General features: G+C 41.7%; 1 protein-coding gene across 6 annotated transcripts in view, besides 3 other annotated features; it reads right to left on the bottom strand.

Moving 5' to 3' along the window:
* TEC (tec protein tyrosine kinase) overlaps positions 1-21,976 on the bottom strand; it is a 134,056-nt gene that overhangs the window by 38,392 nt on the left and 73,688 nt on the right. For all 6 annotated transcript variants that reach the window (NM_003215.3, XM_047416106.1, XM_011513737.3 and 3 more), the window contains exon 3: positions 1,908-2,012. In NM_003215.3, the coding sequence (NP_003206.2) occupies positions 1,908-2,012 (105 nt within the window). The remainder of the gene's footprint in view (positions 1-1,907; positions 2,013-21,976) is intronic.
* Positions 1,083-1,584: an enhancer, noted in NCBI's record as "NANOG hESC enhancer chr4:48177274-48177775 (GRCh37/hg19 assembly coordinates)". NCBI's record gives its function as "activates a minimal SCP1, AML or CMV promoter by ChIP-STARR-seq in naive H9 embryonic stem cells {active_cell/tissue: H9 hESC(naive)}" and the evidence as "EXISTENCE:reporter gene assay evidence [ECO:0000049][PMID:30033119]".
* Positions 11,606-12,331: an enhancer, noted in NCBI's record as "H3K27ac-H3K4me1 hESC enhancer chr4:48187797-48188522 (GRCh37/hg19 assembly coordinates)". NCBI's record gives its function as "activates a minimal SCP1, AML or CMV promoter by ChIP-STARR-seq in naive H9 embryonic stem cells {active_cell/tissue: H9 hESC(naive)}" and the evidence as "EXISTENCE:reporter gene assay evidence [ECO:0000049][PMID:30033119]".
* Positions 21,910-21,959: an enhancer, noted in NCBI's record as "active region_21538". NCBI's record gives its function as "activates an Ori minimal core promoter by ATAC-STARR-seq in GM12878 lymphoblastoid cells {active_cell/tissue: GM12878}" and the evidence as "EXISTENCE:reporter gene assay evidence [ECO:0000049][PMID:35858748]".

Raw genomic sequence — 21,976 nt, forward strand, 5'->3', positions numbered from 1 at the left:
CAACAATTTTAGTAGTTCAGGGATGGAATGCGTTCTGTTCTACTTGTATTATCATTCTTAAAAGCAACCCAAAACTTGCAGAGTGAATCTCTCTTTCTTGGACAGCAAAAATCCTAATGCTGGGTCCAGAATCATGACAGCCACAGCTCCCCAATGCTGTCAATCCCTAGCATGTCTAATAGCCATCAAAGCTGTGGTAGGAGGCCCGGTGCAGTGGCTCACGACTGTAATCTCAGTACTTTGGGAGGCTGAGGCAGGCAGATCACTTGAGGCCAGGAGTTCGAGACCAGCCTGGCCAACATGGTGAAACCCTGTCTCTACTAAAAATACAAAAATTAGCCAGGCATGGTGGTATATGCCTATAATCCCAGCTACTTGGGTGGCTGAGGCATGAGAATCGCTTGAACCTGGGAAGTGGAGGTCTCAGTGAGCTGAGATCATACCACTGCACTCCAGCCTGGGTGACAAAGGAAGACTCCATCTCAAAGGAAAAAAAAAAAAAGAAGTGTGGTAGGAATGGTTCTCTGCTAAATTTCCATTATATATGCATTAAACATACTTAAGAAGAAGGTTTAAATTTATCTTACTTCTAGATCCAGGTGGTAGGTGTAATATTAGGTGTAATATTAATAGCAGCAGCAGTAGTAAGAGAATAGCAATAGTAATAATAGCAACTACCACTTACCTTGCTCTGATTATATGTCAAAGCTATTTATATATCACATCAGTTAATCCTCACAACAACCCCATGAAATGAGTACTATTATTGTTATTATTCCCATTTTTTAAGAGAGGAAACAGGCACAGAGAGGTTAAGTGACTTACACAAGCTCACATAGCCAGTAAGCAAATCAGGCAGTTTGGCCTCAGAGTCACCTCTCTAAGCACTTACTGTCCCTGTCCTTCACTCAGAGAAATGGTAGCTATAAAATAAGGAACAGGGAAAAGGAAAATTAAATGTAGCCCTTCCTCCATTTGTGATGTTGCCACTCTAGCGGAGAATAAGCCAGGAGCTTGGATATTTTGGCTCACTGCTTCCCAAACATCTTCATCCCCCAAAACTGGTAAATGTATAATTCCAACGTAATTGATAACTTCATAAGAGCAATTAAAAACAAGCAAAAATTCCACCACATTGAAAAAGACTTTTGCAACTTTCCTTTCAGGACATGGTGAGACCACAGCCATGGGTAAAAGGCGACTTTCACTAGGGACATTCACTGCTCAAGGAGAGCATAAAAACATCCTTGAGCAGGGAAGGAAGTGGTGAGGTGCTGGGGAGGGGCTGAGAGCTCCAGATTATCAGGATCCAACTCCACATTCCTGAGTTCTCAAGGCAGGTGGGAACCAAGATACTGGCAGGAATGCGGAGTAGCTCAGGACGCCGGACCCTCCTCTTCTGGAGAGGAGATGCGCGTGTGTGTGCTTGGCAGACTTTTCATTTACAAGGTGACCTTGGAGAAGCTATTTAACAGGTGAGCACTGATTTCCTCAGACATAAATGAGAATAATGAGATATTTACCTCCCTTATGCAACAGAACCATTGTCGGGAAAAAAAATAACATGATTACCCCGAAGAAGCATAGTTTAATTAATATATGTCTAATATTATTTTTTTCATCACAAGCAGCCTTTTAATCTCATTTCCACTTGAGCCTTTCACTTCTCAGTTTCTCAGATTCATAGGGAACACTTCAACCTCACTTTTCAGTCTTAGCCCCAACTCCTTAAGAATCAGAAAATGTTTCCACAAAGACTTAAACAGTTCATGAAGAAAAGTCACAACTATTAAAGTGGCAAATGAACCTACAAATCAGCCAGCAAAGCAAGGACAGGAAACTGTAATGTCAAAGAGCAAACATGACTAAGCCCAGCACTGCACTGCCACAAAAATACACCAGCTCACCTGAAATGGATACTTATTTTGACAGGGAATGACACCATCATCATTCTTCACTATTTCCACACACTTGATTTTTGAAACATCAATAAACCCCTTTCTGTATTTCTTCTGTTAAAAGAAAAAAAGGAGAAACATTAGAATCATAAGACATAAAAAAATTAACAGTAATATTGTTAAGGAAATTTTGCTCTGATTCAAAATATTGCAATTTCTTTAAAATTATCTAAATCATGTTTCCCACTAACTGCTAAAATTATTCAAAATACTAACACTGTGATTATTGTAATCAAAATTATTAAATCCTTTAATTTATCAAGATGAAACTGTTCTGTCCTGCCCCCCCAAAAAAACTCCAGAATGGGTCAGGTGCCGTGGCTCATCCCTGTAATCCCAGCACTTTGAGAGGCCAAGGCGGGTGGATTACTTGAGGCCAGCAGTTCGAGACCAGCCTGGCCAACATGGCAAAACCCCCATCTCTATTAAAAATACAAAAATTAGCCAGGTGTGGTGCTGTGCGCCTGTAATCCCAGCTACTCAGGAGGCTGAGGCATGAGAATCACTTGAACACAGGAGGCAGAGGTTGTAGTGAGCTGAGACTGGGCCACTGTACCTCAGGCCTGGGTGACACAGTAAGACTCTATTTCAAAAAAATACATAACTCCAGAACAGAAAAACTCCCTTTCATTGCTACCTGCCCCTGCCAGATACACAATTTGTTCAACTTCTTCATGTTCTTGATGATAGTCCCCAAAAAGAAAGCGTCAAAGACCAAGCCAAGCAAAATTCCATTTACTCAATCACACATGCAACTTCCAGCCAGCTCTGTTTTCCCCTTCACTGGGGTAAATGCCTCCAGTAGAGGCAGCACACAGAATTGAGAGTTATGTGAGGTGGACTTAAAATATTCACAGAAAGCTTCCATTCAGAGTCTATTATTAAATATTCTAATTTTCTTCCCCATTTGCCTGCCCTCCCTGCCTGCTGTAGATCTGCCTGCAGCAATTAACTAACAGCCCATCAAGACTCCCTGCTCCAAAATCATCCACACCTTTAAGCATAGTTATCCCACACTTGGGAATTTATCCTAGGGAAAAATCTAAAAGAAGACAAAGCAGTATGTGCAAAGATAATATAATGCAGCCACTAAAAATTATTACAAACACAATGTAGAAATAAAAAATATTTGCTGAATAATATTAACAGATGAATTCCACACAAAAGTTGCATAAAGACTAAGGTTACTTTTTCTTCATTGGTAGGTATTCATATGACAAAGAATAGAAGAAAAAGTAGAGAAATGAAGAACATCGTATTTGAGATGCCAGCCATCCCTTGGCCTTAGTCACTGAAAATTCTTTTATCTAATGTTCTGAAACCCCAGCTCTAGCCACAAGCTTTGGGGTCCCCACCCCACTCCCAGGAACCTGCTCTGCATCCTCATTGTCACCACAGGACTTCCACACCTGCCTCATTCACCTGGGCCATCAGCACCTCCCATCTGACTAAAGGACTGGCTGCCATCTCCCCAGTGCATATTTATATCCCCCAACATATGCACACACTAGAACCCCACACCCCCTTGACACTTGATATGGTCTGGCTCTGTGTCCCCACCCAAATCTCATCTCAGCATTGTAATCCCTACAATCCCCATGTGTTGAGGGCAGGACCTAGTGGGAGGTGATTGGATCATGGCCGCAGTTTCCCACATGCTGTTCTTGTGACAGTGAGTGAGTTCTCAGGAGATCTGATGGTTTTATAAGGGGCTCTTTCCCTTTTACTCATTTCTGCTCGCTCTCTCTCTCTTGCCTGCCGCCATGTAAGATGTGCCTCTTTCCTTTTTGCCATGATTGTAAGTTTCCTGAGGCCTCCCGAGTCATTCAGAACTGAGTCAATTAAACCTCTTTTCTTTATAAATTGCCCAGTCTTTGGTATGTCTTTATAGCAGTGTGAGAATGGACTAATACAACAGTTTTGTCAGTCCCCAGTTCCGTCCACACCTTTCCCTATTCCCTTCATGCCTGGCTATGGAAGGTCACACACACAATCCTAACTGCCATCTCTATGCCCAGCCAGGCTTTCGCTGCTGCTCATCAGCCCTTGTGTAGTGAAGAGAACCCAGCGGCCTCAAACTACCAGTGCCCTCAAAACTACAAACTTCCCATTCCCTTTGCCTCGGTGGACTCACTCCCTCTCTGCTTTACAGAGGAGACAGCAGTTATCCAGGGGCACATCCCCAAATTCTTCCTTCTGCAGTTCAAGAAAATGCTAAGATTTTACCCTTTTTGCTTTTCTTTTACCCTGTCTCTAAGAGAAAAGTTAAAAAGACACAATGGTTGAGACACTATCGTTGGCACTGAACACATGTTATCTCATTCTGTGCTCACAATATCCCTGTGAGGTACACATTATTCTCCTCATTTTACAGATGAGGAAACTGCAGCTGAGACAAGTTATGTACATTACCCAGGCCCTGAGCTGAAAGGGTACATTTTGGGTACATTACCCAAAGCCAGCTAGACTGTGAGAGATGCCCGAGATGCAAAGCAGTAAGAGGACTCATGGAGCCAAGTCCCACCATGGACAAAAGGGGTTCTAAGCAGCCTTTCCACCAGAGCAGGGAGAAGGAAGGACATCCTCTCTGGTCATTCTCTGCTAAGGGCTTCTCCCACCCTGCCTACAGACGCATTCAGGGCTCTCCTATCCAAACCGGGAAGCATGCTTTTCACCTGCTGCTACTCTAACCCTTCTCCTCTGTTCCTAAAAGAGAAGACAGTGCACCCTCAGTTTTCATTTCTTTACCACCCACTCCCTCCTTAACCACTTGCATCTGCCTCCCACCTCATAGCCTGCTAAGGCTGTTATCGAAAACATTACTGATGATCAAACCAAACGGTCTTCTCTGAATTGTAAGCCACCTTCTGAGATTTGCAAGTGCTGACACTCTTCTGCGCCCTTAGTGGCCCTGACTTTGGGTTGTCCTGGTTTTCCTTTTCTCCCTTCCCTTCAGTTTCTCACAGGACAACACCTGTCATGTGTCAACAACTGTGTGAAGAATGACAAAAAGACAATAGGACAAGCTCATTTCCTGAGCTTGTAGCCGCAGAATTGGGCCAGGTGCTTTTAATCCTCACAGCTGCTCTGCAAGGTAAGGATTACTACACCCATTTTACTGACAAAGAAACTAAAATTAAGTAATGTGCCCAAGTTTACTTGTGGAACAGACTGACATAGCAACTATCATGTAATGACGTGGGTAGTATATATATATATATATATATATATATATATATATATATTTTTTTTTTTTTTTTTTTTTTTTCAAGACAGAGTCTTGCTGTGTCACCCAGGCTGGAGTGGAGTGCAGTGGTGCAATCATGGCTCACTGCAACCTCTGCCTCCTGGTTTCAAGCAATTATCCTGCCTTAGCCCCCCAAGTAGCTGGGATTCCAGGCGTGTGCCACCACGCCCAGCTAAATTTTGTATTTTTAGTAGAGACAGGGTTTCATCAGGTTGGCCGGGCTGGTCTCAAACTCCTGACCTCAGGTAATCCACCCACCTCGGCCTCCCAAAGTGCTGGGATTACAGGCGTGAGCACTACATATAAAAAAGATGCTAAGAGAGCACAGAGAACAATGGCTTACATTTCAGAAGAGGAATGGCAGGAAGAGAAATCTCAGTGAAATGAACAGTAGATGCAAAGAAAAAACACATTCCACCTGACCTCAGTTTCCTCATCTGTAAAATGGGAATAATAATAGTATCTATTTCCTAGGTTTGTTATGAGAATTAAATGAGTTAATATTTGCAAAGTGCTTAGAAGAATGTCTGGCCCATCTGCATGTATTTAGTAAATAACTGTCTAGCTCTAGGAGCAGCAGGCCATGGTCTGCTTTCAAAACACCCATATCTCCATGTACCACCTGGCCTGGCTTCTAAAAGCAGCTGTCAGATGTGGATAAATAGATATAAGAAAATTTGGGATGACTTGATTTTACTTATGTCCCCTAAATTCATACTCTGTGATATATAATCTCCTAATATCCTGTACGGTTAGGCTGGTGCAAAAGTAATTGTAATTTTTGCCATTAAAAGCAATGGCAAAAGCTGCAATTACTTTTGCACCAACCTAACAATATTTGGACTGACTTTCTCCAAATATCTTGTTATGAAACTAGCAGATACAGGTTCACATGTAAGTTGATCACTCATTCTTTTATTTATTCTGCCAGCAAATACTATGGGACACCAACCCAACTGGGCAACAAGCACCATGCTGAGTGCTGGAGTTTCAAAGTTATGAAAGGAGGGTTGAGGGTCTCTTCAAGAGGATTTCATAATATGATGGGTGGAAGGGGAAGAGGGATGATTCACAGTCTAGTAATGATCAAGCAATGTTCTCTTGTGGTATCCTACAGAGTGGGGCAGTGATGGGGCCACAAGAAGATGGGGAAGATTCAGGAAGGAAGTGATATTTTGATTTTATTTTTAAAGGATAAGTATGAGTTTTCCTACAGAGATAATGGAGAGAGTTTCAGGCTGCAAAACAACAAAGTGCTGAGTATTTAGGGAACAGAAAGAAATTCACTGTGGTTGAAGCTCAGGGTGCTTTAGGAGGCTTGTAGGGAATGACACCAAAGAGGCTGTCTGAGGCCACATTAGGAAGATGCTTCTGCACCAGCCTTACAAGTTTGGATTTATTCTGAGCAGTTTTACATGGAGAATCAGGAGTGCAGTACTGCGGTGTGTTTTTAAAAATATAATGATTAACGGCAGGTGAAGAGTGAGTGTTGACAGGGAGGCTGGCTGGGCAACTGCCGTAATAGTTCAGGTGAGAGATGAAGTTCTAAACCAAGTCAGTGGCAGTAAAGTAAGAAAAGCAAAGACACCAGATAATTTAGAAGGCAGAGTTCACAAAACTTTGTGACCACTTAGATATGGGGATTAAGAGTAGAGAAGGACTGAGGGGGGCTAACGGATTTTGAGTTTGAGTGACCAGGAAACACGGACACCATGAATCATGAGAAGGAACACAGAAGGACAATCAGGTGCGAGGAGGCAGGGCTGGGAAATGTTTGAGTGACAATTGAACAACCAGGTGAAAGTTAAAATATGGGTCCAGAACTCAGAAATGCTTAGCACTGTCTTTATAGATAAAGACAATTCTGCTGCAGAAATGCTTAGCGCCATCTTTATAAAGACAATTCTGCTTTTCACAACACATATACAGTATATATAGTGGCAGCTTATTCTAGCCACATCTGAAGGTAACCCTGGGAGGTTAGGCAGGGCTGCGGAAAAAAAGGATTGGAAGGGCTGGGCACCGTGGTTCACTCCTGTAATCCCAGCACTTTGAGAGGCCAAGGAGGGTGTATCATGAGGTCAGGAGTTCAAGACCAGCCTGGCCAACATGGTGAAACCCCATCTCTACTAAAAATACAAAAATTAGCCAGACATGGTGGTGCGCACCTGTAGTCCCAGCTACCTGGGAGGCTGAGGCAGGAGAATAGCTTGAACCTGGGAGGCAGAGGTTGCAGTGAGCCGAGATAGTGCCACTGCATTCCAGCCTGGGCAACAGAGTGAGACTCTGTCTCAAAAAAAAAAAAAAAGAAAAAAGAAAAAGAAAAGAATTGGAAGGGATAAAGGATTCACCATAGGGAACAGAGAGTTACTGAGTGAGGCATGCTATCCCATGCACTTTCTCCCCGAGCCCACTTTAACTCCTGACATGCCAGCTTTTTAAAGCTTTTCCACAGTGGGGCCCTTTAGGAATAAAAGCTTTAGGAAATGATTTCTGAGCAGTTACCGTAGAAGGAACTCACAGTTTCTCCTCCATTTAGACTATTCTTTAGAATTTCTTCAGTAAGAAAATACTTCATGATTCATGGCATATGCTATATGCTATTGTTAATATTGTGGCCCATCTGGGTGGAGTTGCTCATGCCTGTAATCCCAGCACTTTAGGAGGCCAAGGCAGGCAGATCACTTGAGGTCAGAAGTTTGAGACCAGCCTGCCCAACATGGGAAAACCCCATCTCTACTAAAGATACAAAAAAATTACCCAGGCTTGGTGGCAAATACCTGTAATCCCAGCTACTCTGGAGGCTGAGGCATGAGAATCTCTTGAACTCAGGAGGTGGAGGTTGCAGTGAGCCAAGATCGCACCACTGCCCTCCAGCCTAGGTGACAGAGCGAGACTCCATCTCAAAAAAAAAAAAAAATTGTGGCCCAAGGGGAAATATCCAAGGTCATTACTTTTTTTTGTGTTATATTTCCTTTCTATTCTATAGCCTTTGCCCTGCTTACTAGACTGAAAATCATGATAAAGCTGAGACTTTCCCTGACTCACCTTTGAATCCTCTATGAATCTGCCGAGCTAAGAAGACCACCTGACACTTAGTGGATACTAATTCAACAGTGTGCTGACCCAGTATGCAAAGGACCATGGGCAATACTCTGTGTGTGTGTGTGTGTGTGTGTGTGTGTGTGTGTCCTCTCTTGCACACTTTGCAAAGCTTGAAAATGGAAGTAAGCAATGACCATTTTATATATTGTAAACCAGCGTATATGGGAAAATGAGGCATTAAGATGAAATATAACTTGCTTTAAACTACACATCAACTGAATGGCAGAACTCGGAGTTAGATGGATGAGATTCTGTCCCCCAGCAAGACTTACAAGGTACACTGTTTTCCTTTAATTTCCAGAATACTCTGTATTTTAATAATACAAATATCCATCCTAATCTAAAGAAATTAAGTGAGAAAAAAATGTATACAAATAACCAGGCTGGTCTCAGGTGATCTGAGAAGTCATTTATCTCAGGACACCCTCTTGTCCTTTTCCCAAGGCATCCAGAGTCCCCACCACACACAGGGAAAGGCTTGCCAGGGTGTCCCTCCAATATTCCAAATGATTCGTCCCTTTCCCACATCACAAATTTTATTCCTGATGTGGCTGTTCCCAGGGTCTTGTGGCAGAGGAAATCTCCTGGGTGAATCATGTCTGCATTGCAAGAGGACCTCAGAGAAGGAGCATGAGCTTTGGAGACAAGCAGATCCTGACTTCTAGCCTCTGCTTTGCCACTTATAAGCCATACGACCTAGGGCAATCCCAGTTTTCTCTCTGTGCTTCAGTTCCTTTCTCCGTAGAAATAGGACAATGCTGCTCTCTTTGCCAAGCTATCAGCAGGATTAAAGATAATGTTCATAGGTGCTTAACAGTGTCTGACACATGGAACTCTGTGATGGTTAATTTCATGTGTCAACTTGAGTAGGCTAAGGGATACTCAGACGGCTGGTAAAACGTTATTTCCAGGTGTCTGTGAAGGTGTTCCTGGAAGAGATTAGCATTTCAATCAGCTGAGTGAGTAAAGAAGATCCACCTCTGCCATCGCAGATGGGCATCATCCAATCCGATGAGGGGGCAAATAGAACAAACAAAGGCAAAGGGAAAGCGAACTCTTTTCTTAAAGCTGGGATGTCCATCTTCTCCTGCTCTCAGACTTTGGTGCTCCTGGCTCTCCAGACTCCAAGGCTTCCACCAGCAGCCTCCTCCCCTACTCCTGGTTCTCAGGCCTTTGGACTTGGTCTGAATTACACAATTAGCTTTTCTGTGTCTCCACATTGCAGATGGCAGATTGTGGGACTTCTCAGCCTCCATAATCTATTGCGTGAGCCCATTTCCATAATAAATCTCCTCATATACATCTATATGTATCCTATTGGTTCTGTTTCTCTAGAGAACCCTGATTAATACAAACTCACTCCCCAAATAGTAGCATATACTGTCAGTTTTCACAGTAACCCTAGGAAGTTGCAGGAAACTGAGCACTGAGAGGCTATGAGACTGGCTAAGGATTGTAGAGGCTGAGCCAGAATTGAACTAAAATCCCTCAAAAACAGTAATGCTTTTACCTGACTCCAGGTCTGTAAAGCTTGAATAGTTATGGACTTTTATTATTAAAAAAAAGAATATTATCATGTCCATAGCTAACAATTATAGAACACTTACTATAAACCAGCAATACATTAGCCTCTTAATGTGGATAATCTCAGTGAATCCTCACAGCATTATAACATGAGAATTACTGTCACCCCCATTTTGCAGATGGAGAAATCAATACATAGAGAGTATAATTAACTTGCCCAAAGTCACACAATAATCCAGGATTTGAACTTTAATTCCAATCCTGAATTTGTAAGTGCCACCTATACCTAAGTAACTTGGTATCATTTAACTATGTGCAAACATAAATTCAGTAGAAATTTCTTAAACTTATAGCTTGTATACAACTATAAAATCAAAGAAAGTTCACAAATTAAATACAAACAAAACTATACAGCAAATAAAGTGAAATTAACATTACTTGGATGTGACAGATGGGGTGTTGGCTGGAATTGAATCTCTCCGTAAGTAGTTCTCTTGCCATCCACATGCTTATATTACTGTGTGCCACATGACACCCTCTCCCACCTCTTTTCTCAATTCAATTATAAAGAACCTCTGTTTGTACATATATTGCTATCCTATCATTAGGCCTCATTTTGCACCACTGAATTGTTTTGTGTTCAGTCTGTCTGTGTTCTTTCTCAACAGGCCACAACAATTAAAACAGATCTCAAACACAAACCCAAAGCAGACTGCTGAAATGGCATGTTTAGCAACAAAGGACCAGGCAGACAAAAAAAATACACACACACACACACACACACACACACACACACACATTAAATATTATTGAGGGATAAAATATTTCATCAAATTAAGAAGACAAAATTTAGAACTTGCGGTCTTCAACACATGCATAGCACTAAACCTGTGGCTAACATTCATTGCATTCCCTCACGACAATTTGTATTTAGTTTGTGAACTTGGTTTAGTCCTTCAGCCATGTTCATTAAATATTGACTGCTGTGTCCTTTTACCATCTGCAAAGCACAGATATCAAAGTACCATAATAGAGACTTGAAAACACACACACACACAATCCGTTGCCCTTATGGAATGTACAAAAACCCAACATCTTCTAGGGTTACAGAGACAAATGATCATATTTACAATGAAAGTTCGGGTGAGTCAATAGTGAAAGACTAAAGAGTTCCAGTCAACTGTTTAACAGAAAAGAAAATGAATGACATATTCTACTAAAAACACCAAATGACCCTAAAAGGCCTATTCTATTCATACATGTAGTCTTTTCCCTTTCCACTCAGAACAGATTTAGAAGAATGGGTCTTAAGTACAGCAGAACACATTAATTAAGAGAAACGAAAAAAAGGATGGATTTGACATTTTTCTTGTGAATACTGGGAATAATTTTTTACATAGAGCTTTCTAAGAGAAGTCAAATGAATAGAATTTAGAGGCACTTCCAATTTGATGATTCTATGAGAAACTGCTGCCTCTTTACCAAGGACAAAATTCTAACAAAAACTTGGCATTCCATTACTTGGTATCTCATTATTTTTTCCTCCCTTTAAACTAGCTTATAATAGTAACTTATATGGGTGATTTATATTTTATAAAGTGTTTTTACACTAAGGAGAAAAAGAAACATATTAAGAAACCAGTAATATATATATAAGCATGGCATAATATATACATAAGCATGGCATAATTTTAAAGATTATAGTTTTTAAAGTAATATCCAGAATATAAACAGGAAGAGGAAAATCTCTATAAGAAATATGAAGGCTCTCCCTCTCCCTCCCCCTCCCCCTCTCCCATCTCCCTCCCCCTCCCCCTCTCCCATCTCCCTCTCCCTCTCCCTCTCCCGTCTCCCTCTCCCTCTCACCGGTCTCCCTCTGATGCCACCAAAGTTGTGAAAGCCGAGGCTGGACTGTACTGCCGCCATCTCGGCTCACTGCAACCTCCCTGCCAGATTCTCCTGCCTCAGCCTGCGGAGTGCCTGGGATTGCAGGCGCGCGCCGCCACACCTGACTGGTTTTTGCATTTTTTGGTGGAGACAGGGTTTCGCCATGTTGGCCGGGCTGGTCTCCAGCTCCTGACCGTGAGTGATCTGCCTGCCTCGGCCTCCCGAGGTGCCGGGATTGCAGACGGAGTCTCGCTCACTAGGTGCTCAACGTTGCCCAGGCTGGAGTGCAGTGGCGTGATCTCGGCTCGTTACAACCTCCACCTCCCAGCCGCCTGCCTTGGCCTCCCAAAGTGCCGAGATTGCAGCCTCTGCCTGGCCGCCACCCCGTCTGGGAAGTGAGGAGCGTCTCTGCCTGGCCACCCATCGTCTGGGATGTGAGGAGCCCCTCTGACCAGCCGCCCAGTCTGGGAAGTGAGGAGCGCCTCTTCCCGGCCGCCATCCCGTCTAGGAAGTGAGGAGTGTCTCTGCCTGGCCGCCCATCGTCTGAGATGTGGGGAGCGCCTCTGCCCCGCCGCCCCGTCTGGGATGTGAGGAGCGCCTCTGCCTGGCCGACCCCGTCTGGGAACTGAGGAGTGTCTCTGCCGGACCGCCACCCTGTCTGGGAGGTGAGGAGCGTCTCCGCCCGGCCGCCCCGTCTGAGAAGTGAGGAGCCCCTCTGCCCAGCAGCCGCCCCGTCTGGGAAGTGAGGAGCCCCTGCGCCTGGCAGCCTCCCCGTCTGCGAAGTGAGGAGCCCCTCCGCCCGGCAGCCGCCCCGTCCAGGAGGTGGGGGGCAGCCCCCGCCCGGTCAGCCGCCCCGTCCGGGAGGGAGGTGGGGGGTCAGCCCCCGCCCTGCCAGCCGCCCCATCTGGGAGGGAGGTTGGGGGGCGCCTCCGCCCACCCACTGCCCCGTCTGGGAGGTGGGGGGCGCCTCTGCCCGGCCGCCCCGTCTGGGAAGTGAGGAGCCCCTCTGCGTGGCCGCCACCCCATCTGGGAGGTGTACCCAACAGCTCATTGAGAACGGGCCATGATGACAATGGCGTTTTTGTCGAATAGAAAAGGGGGAAATGTGGGGAAAAGAAAGAGAGATCAGATTGTTACTGTGTCTGTGTAGAAAGAAGTAGACCTGGGAGACTCCATTTTGTTCTGTACTAAGAAAAATTCTTCTGCCTTGGGATGCTGTTAATCTATAACCTTACCCCCAACCCGGTGCTCTCTGAAACATGTGCTGTGTCCACTCAGGGTTAAATGGATTAAGGGCGGTGCAAGATGTGCTTTGTTAAACAGATGCTTGAAGGCAGCATGCTCGTTAAGAGTCATCACCACTCCCTAATCTCAAGTACCCAGGGACACAAACATTGCGGAAGGCCGCAGGGTCCTCTGTCTAGGAAAACCAGAGACCCTTGTTCACATGTTTATCTGCTGACCTTCCCTCCACTATTGTCCTATTACCCTGCCAAATCCCCCTCTCTGAGAAACACCCAAGAATGATCAATAAATACTAAAAAAAAAAAAAAAAAGAAATATGAAGGCAAAAATTTCATTTCCAAAATCACAGAATCTTCATATAAGATCGTGTTGATGTAGGCAATTATAGTTTCTGAAGACATATTTTCACTGTATTTAAAATTCAAGTGTTGTTTTCTCCCCCTAAGTGATCTTATGACCACTTAAGACTTTTCCATACCTCCTGGCAACCCTCTTCACAACTCTCCTTTGTGGCCCCAGAGCTAAAACCTATCACCAGATGTGTTTTATTACGGTTGAAAGCAAAACTTACTAACCTATGTGTTTTGAATTAAGTCTAAAAGTGATTTAAATGGTTTAATTCTTAACATTAGTAGGAATTACAATACATTGTGTAAAAATAAATGTATACAGATCTCTTACTGCCTAAGTTTCATGTAATAGACTTCTGAATTCAAGGAATGCCAAAATTAATAAATTCAATCCAAAGATTACAAATTCCCTTGGAGCAAGGACTATGCTAGCGATCTCTGATTGCCACATTTTTCCTCCCCTTTCTGGGGAGTTGGCTCAGCTAGATTGCACTTCCTTATCTGCCATGCACTTAAGTGAGGCCATAAGACTGAGTTCTAGCCAAGGGGGGCATGGAAAGAAGTGACATAACATTACTTCCCATCCTCTAAAACCTTTCACACTATCCTTCCTGTTCCATCCCCTTCCTTGTCGCCCTACTGGACTCAAAAGATCCACTGAAAGATTGTGGGGACTGAAAAACAATGAAGCCATTAAATGGAAGAGGTCTGGGTCCCTGAAACACCATGTAGAAGGCAGTTATATATAATGTAAGGAAGAAAGAAACTTTCTATTGTGGTAAGGCAGGAGTTTCAGGGTATTGTAAGCTATAGCAGTTAGCTATCTTAAAGAATATATTCTAGATTAAGAGTACTCCACACCTCAGCTACTCAATGCCTCAGATTTTTTATTGATAAAGAGACATGCTGAACTAAATCAGTGTTTCCCAAAGAGTGCTCTGGTGGTTTCTGAGGGTTTTTTCCTTTATAATCTTCATTATTTAATTTTTTCCATGCTCACTGCCAACAAGAAGAAGCAAACCTTCTTCCCAGTCATTCCAATACCTCTCAAAAGTAATTTAACAATTCAAGTGTTCTCTCTACACTGTATGAGTATTTAGAATACTCATACAAGCATATGTATGTATGTATGCTATACATACATATACACAGACATAAACATGCACGCGTATGTGTGCATTCACATACTTATACAAGTACTTTCATTTATATTTGGGAGTGTGTTGCATTTTTTTCACTTTTATATACCATAGACATCTCAGGTCAATACATGCAGGACTAAAAGGAATTCTTTTTAATAGTACTAAAACTTTAAAGAAAATGTTTTCTTATGATGATGCTTGATGGAAAGTACACAGCAATATAACAAGGTGTGTGTGTGCATGTGTGTGTGTGTGTGCGCGCCCATGCATATGCGCGCACACACGCATGAATTGCCAGGAAAAAGATCAGTTAAATATCTCAAGCTGAGGTGGTTTTAGGTGGAACTTGGATAAACATTTGTAATTACTGTATATAGTTTTATGATTACCTTTTATTCATGGTTTTTCATTTACTGACTGATACAGTTTCCTTTTCAAATAATTGTGTCTAAGGAAAAAAACATTAAATTATTTAAAGGAAAACATTAGATAAATAGTGCTTTACAGATGGCACATATATGGCAAATTCATCTAAGTAGTATATGTAACGGCTGAAGTTTGGGCAACACTGGCTGAAATTATCTCTTTATTTTGAATTCTAACATTCCTTGACATTTGTTATTTTGTACCTGTATTCCTTGACCACCAGGCCTGCCTAACACGCTCCCAACACATGTGTGAAGAGCACCCTGAGAACACTGACTTACACATAACAAGATTCAATCTACAGGGATATGTTCAGGTAAAACCCCATAAAGGTTACACACACTAACTCTCAGCCACCTCTCCTGAGACGTAAGCATTTCCAGACAAATCCAAAATGCCTACTTATTCCCACCCCCGAGGTTTCAATACATTTTACTGAAAAGATACAGAAAATGCAGAAATAGACAATGGATTTTTATGGCAACATTTGGCTTCTGGAGATAGATCTCCCACCTGGACACATTTTCAGCCTAGAATGGTGCATGGGGAAATGTCTCACTAGGAAATAAGAATTTACGTGAAACTCAGTGTTGGCATTTGGGATCTGAATCTGGCAGCAAAGATGCAAAATGATCAGATTCCATGTGGTGAATGGAAATATACTAAATCATAGTATCTGATTTAACCCATATTCAAATAATAAAGAATAATAGGTAAGATTTATAATAGCACTGTGTGCCTGGTGCTGTCCTATGGTTTACGCATATCAACTTGTTTAAGCCTTCCAATGACCACTATACCATGTTACCTCTCCAAAAATAGCAAGAGCAAAAACACCTGTGGGAAACTGACACTAGGTGACAGCAACAGAAAGGACTCCCACTTTGCAGATCTGTGAGGGACAACAGTCCCTGGCCATATCTAGTATATGAAATATCTACCATCTGTTTAGCACTCGGAGCTAAGCATCATGGGAAGTAGGGTGCTAACTACCACCACAAACATTAATATTTAGATTTGAAAGCAATAACATGTAAATACTTCATTTGTCTTAAGTACTTTTCCTGCAATTCTAGTGAGTATGTATGCTGACTGGAGACTTGTTCAATACTGTCTGAAATGCCAGGTGAGTATTTATCAGATTATAACTATGAATTTTCCCATTTAAAAACCTAAATTAACTCTACTAACTGCCACACCTAAAGTTTAAGCCTTCATGGAGCCAATTTCTAAAGAAACAGAAGCCCACAGAGGCACTCTCTACAACAAATTTCAATTTATCATTACACATTAGCAAAACCCTCTTACTCTCCATGTGTCTGCTAAAATGATCTTCCCAGGTTCACTTGGAATTTTACTGAGAGGCAAATTTCTCTGACTCCAGGATTTCAGACCAATGTGATGTCAGAAACCTCTTTAGCAAGAACCAAAGAAATATGGGATAGATTTCCTACCTACAAAGCATTTATAATCGAGGTAGGAAATAAGTCATGGACAGCATTTTGACGCCCTAGCAAGACGAATCAAAGTTCCCAAAGTTATTTAAAATTTGAGGCAAGAAATAGAAAGATAATCATAGAGCATTATCTGTGGATCACAACTGGATCCAGAGTGCCAAAGAGCCTCAAGTGCAAGAGACAATGGTGATTTGATTGTTAAAGGAAAAAAGACTGGATATTGCTGTCTCCTGAGACTAATAAGAAGTGACTAGAAACAGGCTGGCAAATGTAAATGATGGGAAAACTACAAAAATGTTACCCTAAATATAAAATCAGAAGTTATTAGGAAAGTTTAAAACTGATGAAGAACTTGTAAAGTTGACTGACTTTCAGAGACATGTATGTGAATAATATACACAGCAATTGACTATGCTGCTAGGGGACTTTTTAAAAAATTTATTGAACATGCCACAATATTTTCAGTATTGTCTCAATGTTTTAACACAGCAGAGTCAATATGACATAATGATTGAGCACCCAGGCTTCAGTGACCAGCAAGCTGTGCTTAAATGCCAGCTCTGTGGCCCCATGCAAATTAAATAACCTCTTCTAGTCTCTATTTCCTTATCTGTAAATGGGGATCTTAAAATTATTAGATTAACATAACCTATCTCCTAGATTATTTTCAGGATTAATTGTGAGATGCTCACAGGCACATAGCATAATTTATCTGGACCCTCACAATCACTTACTGTCAGTTATTTGGTTTGTTTTTGCCTTTAAATATAAGATTTATACAATTTTTCAGCCTTTAAACTTTTTTCCCATATAAACAGCCTTAACTTTTAATATTATATACTCTCTAATTTTCTTATACAGTTCAATAAAAAAATATTTAATACAGATCTTTTAAATATTTCACTGGCATTTACATTGTTTCATTAGGTAACATACCAATAGTTTTTCACTTTCTCCTTAAGGATGAATTCAGTAAATATTCCAGGAACTCAATAAATATAGGAGTAGACAGTTAAGTTTGACTATAATGCATAAAATATCACAGAACAAACTAGGGAAATAGGATAATAGCAGAACCATTCTTTCTCTTAAAACAGAATAATATTTTAAATAACTATTTTTAAAAGTAATTTGGTCTTATTTATCAATTACCATGGAAATGTAGGCAATGCAGGGCACAGTGGCTCATGCCTGTAATCCCAGCAACATAACACTTGCTATGTTGACCACCTTGGGCAACATAGCAAGACTCTGTTTCTACAAAAAAAATTTAAAAATTACCCAGGTGTGGTGGTGTGCACCTGCAGTCCCAGCTACTCGGGAGGTTGAGGCAGGAGGATTGCTTGAACTCAGTTCAAGGCTGCAGTGAGCTATGATGGCACTACTGCACTCCAGCCTGGGTGACAGACTAAGACCATAAAAGATATGCAGGTGAAGTCTAACAACCACTCAGGACAATATTTGCTCAGTATATACTACATGCTAGATAATGCACTAAGCACAAAAGGCATGGAAGCATATGTCCACACAAAGACTAACACAAAAACTTTCATAGTGGCTTTATTTATAATAGCCCAAAACTGGAAACAACCCAAACATCCATCAACAGGGGAAACAAATTGTGGTATAGCCATACAATGGAGTACTTCACAGTAATAGAAATGCAATATTGTTATAACCAAATTAATATATGTCAAAATAATATGCTGGGTGATAGAAGCTAGTCTAAAAAAGAGTACCTGCTATATAAGTTTGTTTATTCTAGAATTCTAGAACATGCAAACTAATCTATCATGTCAAAAATTAGATCAGCGATTACCTAGGGATGGTGGGCATGAAGAGGGAGGTATGAAGATAAAGTGGCATGAGAAAACTTTTAGGGGTTATGGGCATACTCAGTGTTTCAGTTGTTGTAGTGACGGTTTCATGGATGTATACCTAATGTGAAAACTCATCAAATAATGCAATTTAAATACGTGCAGTCATTGGAGCATACCTGTATAATGCTGAAAAAAATATGGCCCCTGCTCTCGGAAACCCTGAAGTCTGGGGATACTTGGAAACTATAAAATTCTTTGGTAATAATTTAATGTTCTAAATCATAAGCTTAAAACTGCAATAACAACAATGGTAAAAGAAAAAAAAATGAGTAGAAAGATTAAGCAAAATAACTCTGGTTTATAATGGGCCAGAAGTAGGTAATTGATCAGCTCTCATTTAAATGAAGGCTCTGCCCTAGTATTTATTCCAACTTAGAAAGAACTCACCCATCCATTTGATTCACTCAGTCTTAAATGAAAATGAGTAATAAATAAAATAAATTCAACACCTCCTACCAAGGCTGCTGCTTGGTCCTAGCCTTCTCTTTATCACCCCTTCTTCAAGGCAGGTCTAATAAAGGTCACCAACTGGAAGCTCAGCAAAGGCACAGCTACTCCCTCTCCAGCACCTGCAGCAGAGCCTGGCACCTGGCAACCTGGCACCTAGCAGGTGCCCAATAACTTTGTTGAATAAGTCAATGAATGAATGAATAAATAAATAGGAGAGGACTCAACTAAGTGGAATTGCTGAGCAGTTAGACTTTTCTCAGGTCTAATTTCACAATATCCAGTTGTAGCCACCACTTTTTCTTTTCCTTTTTTTCTGATTTTTTTTTTTTTTAAGAGATAGGGTTCTTGCTACATTGCCCAGACTGAACTCCTGGGATCAAGCGATCCTCCCACCTCAGCCTCCTGAAGAGCATAACCAGCACCACCACTTTTTCTTAACTACGCCGTTTTCGAGAAGAGTTTTTGCTCATATTTTTTATCTTCTATCTTTTTTCTTTCTTCTGCTGCAGTTCTCTCAGACCTATACCACACCAGGTGGGCACAGGCAAGCCAGGAATCTCCAGGACCTGCTTCCTGGAAATAATCCCAGACTCTGCTTCCTCTCCTCTCTATTCCATCAAAGTGTACTGCTGCACATAGTAATACCCAAGTGACAGAGTAACTGTCCCATTACAATCTTCAGAGATAAACGTAACTACTGTCAAGGGAGAGATGGTTATCATTGGATATGTTAGTGAGCATCTTTTGGCCTGTTTTTTTGTTTGTTTTTGTTTTGTTTTATTTTTCTTAGCAACAAAAAAGAAGGAAGGCCCTTTAGCCTAGGTTTCAGTTCTTAGGTTTCTATGGTTAATACTGACTAGTAGCACTTTGTTTCTCTAGTAGGACTGCGTGTGTGTTCTGAGGCTGTCCAGTAAGCACTTCATGTGTTAGGGTTTTTTTTTTAATGATACTTTATATCTTTATGAAAGTGGAAATAACTAGAATCACATAAACATGATTTCTTATCAAGAGGAACTTGGGAGAGATAAGCTTTGTAAGTTTCTGGTGGGTGAGAGTTACAGATGGCAAATAGGGCAAGACAGAAAATGCAATTTCTGGGATAGATGGTGGGTGGCAGGGGCAGCAAGTAATCCAAATACGCAATGGCCAAATCTGTGGAACAAAACCTACCACTGCAGCCCAAGGGGGAACACCATTCCCACCCCACCTCCTGGTATCCCAACCATGACCAATGGATTGATGAAGTGATAACCCAGAGCAATGACAGCCCTGAGGGTGGGAAACCCTGTGGCAATTCTCCTAAAGCCTTCCCCTGGGGCTGGATTTCTGGAAAGGTGCATCGAAAGGCTCACAGCCTCTTGGAAACTTTGCCTCTACCCTGCCTATATCTAGCCAGTTCTTCTACAAAGAAGAGCCCCACTCCCTGCTTATCTGATGTTAGTGGAGGGCACAGAGGCATGCACACAATTATGGACTGGAAATATAAATTACTTAAAACTGAACTGAGCTTTGCTAGGGAACTGCGAAAGCAGAACATTAACCTGGTCTTTAAATCAGCTGCTACTTAGCCCTATATATCTCTCTAGTTCTCTTCAATGTTAAAGAGATCACATTGCAGTTTGTTTTCTAGACGTCTTTAAAATACTAAACTGCATATAATGGCAGCTTTCCTATACCCTTTGCTACCCCCTAAAAGAGAAACATTCCCTCCTTGTTTTCAATGAATACAGTCAGCCATACCAGGTAAAGTTTCTTCCTCTCGCTTCTCTAATGGGAAGTTTGATGAGTAGATGATGAGAGTTGGGGGGAGTGAGGAAGTGGGCACAGGGAGAAGGAATCACCATAATAACACCCACAAGAAAGAGAAAATGTATTTTGGAGCCAGGTCTCTAGTAGCAGACGGTGAATTGCCCATCAACTCTCCCCTCAGTAAAATACTCAAAGAGAAATACACAGAATTGCTTCATTATGTATTCCATGGGTTTTTGTGGGTTTAATGCGGGCCAATCACTGCTTTTACTACAGTTTCTACAGGAATATTCATTCAACTGGTGTTGCAAATAACCAACTTACAGCAAACTTTTGTAATACAACCCATCAACTGTGAACATTCTGTAGATAAAATTATTTTTAAAACAATTTCTTCCACTGACTGAGTGCTTGATGATATTAAGGAAGTTCTGTTGATATTTAAGAGTGTGGTGATGGCACTAAGATTCTGCTTAAGCTGGGGGCTCCCTGACTTCTGCAGATGAATACTGAACCATCTGTAGAAGAAATGATGTGGTTTCTGCAAGACAATGGGAGTAGAAGGGATTTGTTATAGATAATGAGGTGGGAGGAAGTGTGACTAGGGTTACTTGGTTGGGTAATGGGTACACGGGGTTCACTGTACTATTCTGTCTACTGTTCAGTAAGTTGTAAATATTCTATGATAAAAGGTTAAAAAACACTTCTCAAATATTTTTTAAAGCCTGATCAAAGTTGTAACTGAATCTACTTACAAACTTTTTTTTTGAGAATAGAAAAAGAGCCCATCATAAACCAGTAAAAGCAGAGATGGCACATTTCTTAATTGCTACTAATAAAGCTTTTGCTGTCCTTTGTGGTAAAGTGCACACTGGGCTCAGAACAGGAAGCAAGCCTTAGAAACAACAACAATCCCGATGTTTATACAACTGCTCGTACAGGTCGTGTGTGCACAGCTCCTTGCATTCATCAATCTTAAAGTGCTCCATAATTAATTACAGAACCAGTGACTCTGCCAAAGTAATGAGTCATTTAGCATCTGCAATTTACTGTTGGGTAAATGGGGCACTGAGTTAAACAAATTGATCAAGGGCAAATGAGTAAGATACAGAAATCTAGGCTGCAATGTTGTACTCTTTGCTGGCTATCACAGCTAGGAGCCATAATTAAACTATTTGTTCCCTCTTAGTTTGCTCTTGCTAATGCAACTAACTCTCAATTGCTCTAGTGAAACTAACTCTCATTCATCCCTGTTGCAGAATATCTGGCCATTCTGAGAGATGCCCCCACAGTGCAAAATACAGAATCCCCACTGTCCAATAGCCACGCCACTCACTGAGTGCCCACCAGCACCTGCAACAGAAGCTTTATCTGTCTGCTTTTCTCTTCCTTACCCCCGCCTCACCTCCCTTCTGGTGGTACAGAGATACCACATTATAGCACCTATGCAGCAACCAGTCTTGGAAGGTGTGATGGTTAACTTTAGGTATCAACTTGACTGGAAGAAGGACTGCCTAGAGAGCTGGTAAAGCTTTCCTTCTGATTGTGTCTGTGAT

Source organism: Homo sapiens, chromosome 4, assembly GCF_000001405.40.
Source record: "Homo sapiens chromosome 4, GRCh38.p14 Primary Assembly".
Taxonomy (NCBI): domain Eukaryota; kingdom Metazoa; phylum Chordata; class Mammalia; order Primates; family Hominidae; genus Homo; species Homo sapiens.